Genomic DNA, 9,407 nt, shown 5'->3' with positions numbered 1-9,407 from the left:
CTAGATAGGAACTGCTAGGTGATGAATAAACATTATCTCATTGAATTTGTTCAGTGACTATGACATAGGGGACATTACTCTATTTTTTTTTAAGATAAGGAAATGTAGAATCGTTGAGTAACATGCTCAAGTCGATATTTAAATCACAGAGCTGAAATTTGTCTAACTCTTAACCCTTGACCTTTGACAGACCTTTGGCCCACCATCCCTACCCTAAACATGGAATGAAGTTTTCCAGAAATGCGGGTAAAATTTTAAGAGGCTGACAGCAAAAGATATTCACAATTCAATTTATTTTCATATTTTTCATTTATTTTCCAGAAAAAGAAATCACATTTCAGTAACAACTTACATATAGAATTAAACTTTGTTCTGGAATGGGAGCCCTAGTTGCAGTAACGTGTCATAATAAATAATTGCATATTCAGGATTTTGTGAAATAGGTGATTGGGAAAATTATGAACAAAAAACATTTACAAAAATTATTATTTACAAAGAGTGATATCCATACTATTTCTAACTTATAAGGCAAGTAATGTTAAGATGGTCTCATGATTATCTTCAACAAGTCAATTACACACTTTCCTGTCACCATTGCCCAGCAGAGAGCTTTGCTGCAATTCTGTGAAGGAGCAAGTAAGTCTTCGCTTCCGTTGTTGGTTTTCTCTTGAGCACAGCATAGAAGCAGTAAAGCTTTCATTACAGACTAAGCAGTAATGGCTGTCAGAAAAAAGTATACTCTTTTGAAATAGACGTGTAGGAAAAAGGCTGGGAATCAACATTTTGACTAAATTTTGAAAGTATCTTGAGTATTTTAATTCACAGTTTTGTAAGTATTTTATGCCCAAGGTATTTTTGTGAAATTATGTACTTAGTACAAGATTAAAAAGAAATTTAGTGTATTTTTGCTACATAGATCAAAGAGAGCTCTAAATAAAGGCTACCACCAAATCAAATTACACACAGCATTTTCCTTAATTGACAGGATTTCATTACCTATAGAAACACAGCAAAATCTTTCTGAGATTCCTAGATTCTTGCATTGTTCAAGTTTAAAAAAAATCAATGCCTTACATGGCCACTTAGTAAGAATGAAAATTAATATCCGAGTATTTAATTCATATGATCTTTTACTATACAAGTGAAAAACAAACAAAAACTCTTTTTAATCGAAAACAATAGTGTTCAAACAGCTTAAAAAGCCAGCTGTATACATTACTGCTTGGCCTGTGGTGAAGCTCTGTTCATAGATAAGATTAATATATCATCATATCAACACTTGGCTTTTTCAAGAAAAATTATTCAGCAGCAATTTTCCAATTCCCCTTAGACAGAGAGGAAAGAGACACACACACACACACACACACACACACACACCCCCACACACACACAGAGAAAGAGAGAGAGAGAGAGAGAGAATATGAATTAGATAGGAGCCAATCTCTTTCATGTATGTCCATTTAACAAAGCAAGAACTAAATTCTGACCTGAAAAATCAACACAGCTATATGAATTATCATTCTAGCAACTTGAAAAGGGAAAAAAATCTGACTTTGGATCTTGGGACAGTGGTTCTTGTGATAGTTACTTGTTGTATGATTTAAAATACCTTAGAGTGATGGTGAATGAATAACATCAAGCATTTACTTTGCGAGAAAAAAAATTCATAAAAGTAATGTAAAACTGAATGAGCGAGATGGAATTAACATTTGTATGATATACTCATTCAATGGAACGTTTAAAAATTATAAATGGCTTATGATCTATCAGGCTGATTCACAAACTCTGGATGGATTAAAAACTGAACTATCTTTAGAGAAATGTAAAGTGATTCAGTTTGATTCTTTTCTATATGATAACAGACAATTTAACCAGGAAGTTTTTAAAGAAACTTCGTTAATTTGGTATAAAAGTAACTGATTGGCAAAGTAAAGCAAAGCAAAAAAAGAAAAAAAAACAGCAAAAAAAAAACCCTATGAAATGCTCATTAAAAGAGTATAGAATCTCACAAAATCTGTGCTAAACAGTGCACTGCTCTTAGCTTTCCCCAAAGTGTTTTTAATATAATTTCTGACAAGCTGATGTAAAAATACTGTCAACATTGATCTATCATGATTCAGTTTCCTAAAGCTGTTTAGTAAAACGTTACTGGAGATTATTCACTGGCATTAATTCCACACGGCAAAGAATTGGAAACATCTTCAACAGATAGGGGTCTGATATGCTGGTCATAGGTGCAAGCCTTAAAAATAATACAAAAATTAAAATAATTTTATTGTTTTGTTTTGAATATTTTAGATGATAAAGTTAAATTCACTAAGAGATACTAATGAAATTTAAAATAGATAACAATTCATTTGAAATGACAGGAATTCTCTTAAAATTAAAACAAAATTCCAGAAGCATTTTTTTCAAAGCATTCCTGGTTATTTTATTTACAATTATTGAAGGATATATAAACTAGTGTTAAAAGAAAACTTTTCCAAAGGTTTCTCAAGGTGTGCTTAGAAAAAATTTTTTTTACCTGATTCAATAACTTTCTTAAGCTTCATTAAAACACTAACATTTATTGTCAATGTCCAAGGAGAGAGAATTATAGTATAGGACCATTTGTTCTCAGACCACAATGAACATCTTCCAGAACACAATTTGTAAAATACTGGAATATTGGTGAGCATAGCCCAAATACACTTTACTTCTTTTCTTTAAAACATTACGGGACATTTAAAAATATATTTGTTTTTTGCCAAAACATTTTTTACAAGGATAAAGATGTATTTAAGGTAGGCAAGGTATTACTCTAGGGATAGAAGGAGGCAGTTAGAAATCAAAGGAAAAATAATTTTAGAAGTTAAACCTAGAGAATAAATTATTATACCCATGGTCAATGCCAACAAATAGGTGTCTTTTCCTCATAGACATACCCATTTAGGAGAGAAATCAGATATTAAATGTGAGGGCCAATCAAGAGGTTCACCATGGTCAACTCAACAGACTTTACATTTGACATTCCTTCATGAAATATATTTAGATCTTAATTAGATGTCAGCAGTGCAACTCTAGCTTGCAGAAGATGACAGAACATTGAAGCAATGACACAAGAGAAAGGCAAGTGTTTTGTTGTTGTTTTTAATATTTAGAGACTTAAGCAATGTACTCCTATCTCATTTTCCTTCCATACACTCCACTGACAAAAAGGAACATTAATGGTAGCCATATTTAATTCATAAGTGAGAGAATGGCATTTAGATACTGTTTTCCACATGAAAAAAAAGCCTAAAGGAGCAGGGAAAATACAATAAAACCTTAAGAGGAAAGTGCACACAGTAAAAGATGGTGAGGCTGGTCATCCAAATAGTCCCTTTAATCAATGTAACTTGGATTGATTTGTTCATTTATATCAACAATCTAATTTGACTCATTGCATGGACACATCATATTATATTAACTTTCAAAGCTATATTTAGAGATCACTCTTGTTTTGATATTATTAAATATAATGTAACACTTCCATTTTTTAAAAAAATTGCTGATCAGAAAACCATGTGGCAAAATGAGTACATTTAGACTGAATGGGATTTTGCTCAAATGTATAATCTTTTGGAAAAGGAAAAGCTTAAACACAGACACATACACACACACTCATCTGTTTAGTATGTATCTGCATATTCTACTGTATTGTTCAATTTAATTTACAGCCTGTGGTTATTTTGAGAAAAAATATTCGTGCAACTCTTTTAGAATGAGGCTACCACATGTTTGTAAAGTCAAAAGCTTACAAAATAAATAGGTTCAACTCACAAGTTAGAGATCTGAATGTCCCTTGCAAAGAAGGAAACATTGATTAGGATTTTGTATTTGAATAAATAACAGCTTGCAACTTCCCTTCTACTTCAAGTCTTTTAAGACATTGAAGAAAAGGACAGAAATATGAAAATGAGAAAATGCATTTCAGGCTACTTTGAGACTGAGATAGTATAACAGAGTAACTTTAAGAAAAAGATAGGGATTTTCCTAGGGAAAAAAATTTTTTAAGATTGGAGGAAATTAAGTGGACTGAATGAAAAATAAACTGACTAGAAAAATGGTTTTCATCTTAGAATTTAATGCTTAAAATCTGATATAATGTCAGAACTAAGAAGGACCTTAGAGATCTACTAGAGCAATGATTCTCAAATTTGGAGCACTTATCAAAATGTATATTCCCAAATCTCATCCCTAGAAGTTTATGCTGTCAATACAAATTTATCGATGCCTACTGTGTATAGCTTGTATGAACTTGATTATACATGTTTCCTTATAATGCCACAAAAGGTGGTATATCTGAGTAAAGTAGAATCATGGAATTTCAGAGATGGAAGACATTGATATGTGGTAGATCATTTTGTGTTGTTACGGTGTTTAACAATGTTTATCAGTGCCTACTATCTTCCAGGCATAGTGGTGACCAAGCCAAAATCATTAATAAGTGATGATACAAAACATTAATAAGTGATGATACCAATCATATTTTGAGAAGCAGTGATTCTTTTTTGACAGTTTTGTTATTGGAATTATCCTTATTTTGGTAATGGTTTTTCATGGTGCCTTCTACCTTGGCATTCAAATGGAGTACGTATAGTGACATAAAACAGATTGTTTTGTTCAGGGTGGACAAAGCAATTAAGGCGTTTCCTTTGCAGTCAGAATAGCTGGGTTACTTTCAGCTGCCGTGTCATTTTGGGGAGATTATTCTATTTAAGCCTCAGTGTCATCACTTGTAAAACAGGAATTAAAAAGAGTACTTACAATTTTTTGATTGATAAGAGAATTAAATGAGCTAATATCTCTAGTGACTGGTACATGGTAAACACTCTGTCAGTTTTTATTGTATATCATTCAATTACTGTGTTTTTACAAGTTTGCTTATAAAGCCTCAAAAGGTGGTTTATCTGAGTAAATTACAACTGTGGAACTTCAGAGTTGGAAGACACATGATAGATCATTGTGTACTGTTATGGTATTTAAACCATGCTCTGGGGAGCCCCAATTTAAACTGTTGGAGAAACTCCTGCATTGCTTTGAGCTGTTTTGCCTACCAGGATTCCATGTGCAATTTTATTAGAAAAAAAGCCCTGCTGTTAAGAAAAGCTTGAAAACCACTGGCAATCCCAACTCCCCATTCTAAAGATGAGAAACTGAAAAGGGCAGTGATTTGTCCAATATCATACGGCAGGAGTCAGTGGCAGAGCCAAGGTATTATAGTTATCTGCTTTTCTAAAAGAAGATTTAGAAGTGGAAATACTTGTAATTATAGCTCAAACACTCTGCTGACTAAGAATATATAAAACAAAAAAAATTCTGTAGTTTGACTGAGGGATTCCTATCTATTAACTCAAAACCGTTTGAATTGTGGACATTCTTTCTTTTACAGGTGAAATATATTCCCAAATACCATACAGTGAATTTCCATTTTGGCTGTGGGTGTAGAGAAGAACACAGCTTTAAAAATGATTAAAAATTTAATTCTTAGTAATTATAAATTTCTATTATGATAAAATTCAGACTAATCCTTGATACAAATTTATTTTTAAAAATTTCACGAAAATATGGATTTTATTGGAAAAGAAAAACAAAATTTCCATGTTGCCAAAATAAAGTAGCATCATTTATACTTTTTATCTTGCTAAAGCAGAACCTTTTAAAGATCATAACGTTCAGGAAATGGTGTTCTGGTTAACTAGAACAATTTCTTTTTGTTTTAACCCCTAGTACTGAAAATAGTTTTATTACCTACTAGTTCATTTTGTTCTGACTTGGGAATAAAATGAATAAATGAATCTGACTTAATGTCTTTGATAACTGAGACTCTTTCATTGCCTGGGACCATTTTCAGGACATGAATTCTTATTCTACAGTACTGTGGATATAGATGTAACAGGAGATTATAATCTACAAAATTAAAAAGAAACAACAAAATGTCAAAATGCAAATCCCTGATACCAGCTTATTGTGTTATTATTTGATCTCTTTTCTGAAAGGTGAAGGGATACATTTTCTATTGAGGTTCTGGTTACTCATAGTTCAATCATTTTGAAATTGTTGACTCCCATTCTGTTCCATAAAGACCAGTTAAGAGATTATAGGATTTCTTCATAGTTTCTAATTTAATCCCTAGAAAGATTTGAATAATGTTAGAGATTACTGTAATCTATGTTTTTAATTAAATTTTTAAAAATCAGTAAAATTATTTTTTGGGAAAAAAACCCTTGTGTTTAATTACTAATTCATTCTAGATCTATACAAAATAAAACAAAATAAAATATAAATACAAAGACATGAGAACCAGTAATATTTACATGTTTTTAATATGCTTTGTATTAATATTCAATTTTTTAAATGAATTGATTACTTAAAAACACATTGTTATATTCATATGCTGGATAATTCTCAGTTTGCTGCTGCTTACTCTCCATTGATTTTGGTGTCATAAATTCCATGTTTCATGGAATTTAGAATTTTGCATTTTCTATTTTGGTTTCAAAATCAAATTGGATACCTTTACATAAAATGAGTATATTTAGTTCGTTCAAAGAAACTTCAACACCAGACTGCTGTAGGGGGCCAACTGAGAGTTTGTTGAATAGTAAGAATTTTCCCATGGTAAAACAAATCATTTTGGACATTCTCTTGGTAGCAAGCACTGATAGAGGAGTACAAAGATTAATTTAAAAAGTTTCACTATAAACAATTGCCAGTCACAATCTCATTTTAGAAGTAAAACTTTAAAAATTTAATTTAATTCTAAAATTTAAAGGGGCTAAAGATTCTTTGTTAAATTTGAGTGGGTGTAAAATGAAATTTAACAACTAATTATAAAAATAATAACTTAATAATTACAGCTATTTAATAGCATAACCTGTAATAGAAATTGGTTTATGTTTAAATAAGTTCTATGACTTAAAGGAAGACTAACATTTTCAGATATTAATGAGGGAAGGTTTTACAACTGAGACTCCCGAAGAAGTTTGTCTTTCTAAATGTTCATATGGCAGGGCCAGATTGAATAATTACAGTTTTTATTATACCTTGCAACGATGAAACGACATACATTTTTGATAACTCTCCTTTTGCTTCTCCAAGAATGGCAAAGATTTACAGTTTTATACAATGAATCCTAATCATCCAAAAGGAAATTTATTACACAGTAATGTGAATAGAATTTCATTTATGAAGCTTATTTTTTCATTCTCAAATGATATAAACAATGATTAAAACTCTCCTTCTGGATCTAAACAGTGGACTTTTTTTTCCCTAAAATTCTCAGTCTCAGCGTTTTGATTCCTGTGGGTAAAGAGGAAGACGTGAGGTATCATTCCCCCATACTGGATGAGTAAGATCATCTATTCAGAGTAACTAAGCAAAAATTCTTAACCAGTTCAACTACGGAAAGTCTTGAAATCTTAAAATCACAATTTTGGTTTTAGTCTGACTGATTATTCAGCAATCCCCACATTTGCGAAACTGTAGAGAGGGGCAAGTAGTTAAGACTTCAACATCTTCTTTACTCTTGATTATAATTTAATATACTTAAACTTTAAATATGAATTGCTTTCCCTTTTTACACAAGTTATAAAAATAAGAGGCCCTGTTTACACAGTTTGCATTTTTATGAAATTTGCAGTTTGAAAAAAAAGCTTTTTAAAAAGTGGTAACTAATGCTTTTCTTTGAATATGCTGTAACCTTAGAATTTTTTTCTGAAATAGTTTCTCAATTTAACCCACTAAACATTTGAAGATAGAGTTTTTATTTAGCACTAGAGTAAAACATACTAAGCATTGAAGAAAAGTAAGTTTGTTTCTTTTTCTTCTGGTTCCACTTAAGTTTCTTTAATATGTGGCACCCCCTTTATGACAGCTATCAATATTATATTTAAATTTTATATATTGACAAAATGCAATCTACCTCTGTAAGCATTGTGCCATTCAACAATACTACTATTAAATTTACATACCACAGTTTAAATTACATCCATTTCAGGAATGGTAAAATGCTAAAACTCAAGTGTCTAACTGCCTTACTGGAATGAGAGTACAATTTACAAATACAATAATTACATTTTAAAACCATTAACAATATTACACCTAGAAGTAAATACTGTAGGACTGGTCATCATGGTAGTGTGTGAGGGAAATCACAGATGAAAGTCATTGACTTTCCACCTGATATATCCCAAGTGCAGATATTGGTTTGTTTTCATCAAACCAAAATTAAAATCTGTTTCTCATACATCAGTTCTCCATTATATGAATCCTCCAAATCCTTGCATAAGATTTCATTAGTTATCTGCCAAGTATTTTCCTGCAAAACAAAACAGCATGTCAACAGGTTATCTGGTAGTTCAATAATGTAATTATTATATGGGTAACTTTTCTATTCCTCCTTCCCTACCCCTAGGAGCCAGATACTGCATACTTCAGAGGTACAATACGAATAAAAGATACATAAAGTTTCCAAATCAATTTTCAGTTTTTCAGATCAGCTAGTTGCCTCTTCACATTTCCATAGATCAACAATTTGCAGAGGTTTGGGGTTTGCCCAGAATAGATTGGGAGATTTATTTCTGGATGTGAGAATCCAACTTATGTTAGAAAGGGTGCTCATAGGCCGGGCGCGGTGGCTCACGCCTGTAATCCCAGCACTTTGGGAGGCCGAGGCGGGCGGATCACGAGGTCAGGAGATCGAGACCATCCTGGCTAACACGGTGAAACCCCGTCTCTACTAAAAATACAAAAAATTAGCCGGGCGTGGTGGTGGGCGCCTGTAGTCCCAGCTACTCAGGAGGCTGAGGCAGGAGAATGGCATGAACCCAAGAGGCGGAGCTTGCAGTGAGCCGGGATAGCGCCACTGCACTCCAGCCTGGGCGACAGAGTGAGACTCCGTCTCAAAAAAAAAAAAAAAAAAAAAAAAAAAGAAAGGGTGCTCATATAACTTATATTCCAATTTGGATCATTTTTGAGAGCGAAAAGGGTATAATTAATAATTACATCAGTACAATAGACATAAAAAAACCAGGATTTATCCCAGCAAATCACTGAAAAGTATAATCACTCTAGTATTAGAGAGTTCCTCTCCCCCAATTGAAAAACAAAATAAAACCCCATTGTTTGTGCCAAATAAAACCTGTCTCATGGCCACATTCAGCTTATGGGTGACCAGTTTTGATCTGTGGCCTAGATTCTTTGAGTTTGTTATTAAAGTGAAAAATAGATTCTCCCAGATCTCAGCTAAACCTGACAAGTCTAAACTCTGTGAAGTCCTGTCAGAGAACAAAAAGTTTTCTGGTGGGAGATAAATTAAAAGGCAAGGCTGGGTGCGGTGGCTCACCGCCTATAATCTTAGTACTTTAGGAGGCCGAGGCAGGCGG

General features: G+C 32.5%; 1 protein-coding gene across 51 annotated transcripts in view; it reads right to left on the bottom strand.

Moving 5' to 3' along the window:
* Window positions 1-274: 274 nt before the first annotated feature.
* SGIP1 (SH3GL interacting endocytic adaptor 1) overlaps window positions 275-9,407 on the bottom strand; it is a 217,779-nt gene continuing 208,646 nt past the window's right edge. For all 51 annotated transcript variants that reach the window (NM_001376535.1, NM_001376549.1, XM_047432059.1 and 48 more), the window contains one exon: window positions 275-8,341. In NM_001376535.1, coding sequence (NP_001363464.1) covers window positions 8,319-8,341 — 23 coding nt within the window. In that variant the 3' untranslated portion in view covers window positions 275-8,318. The remainder of the gene's footprint in view (window positions 8,342-9,407) is intronic.

The sequence above is a fragment of the Homo sapiens genome, chromosome 1 (assembly GCF_000001405.40).
Source record: "Homo sapiens chromosome 1, GRCh38.p14 Primary Assembly".
NCBI lineage: Eukaryota > Metazoa > Chordata > Mammalia > Primates > Hominidae > Homo > Homo sapiens.
The sequence above is the reverse complement of the archived record's forward strand: the minus strand, read 5'-3'. Positions and strand labels throughout refer to the sequence as shown.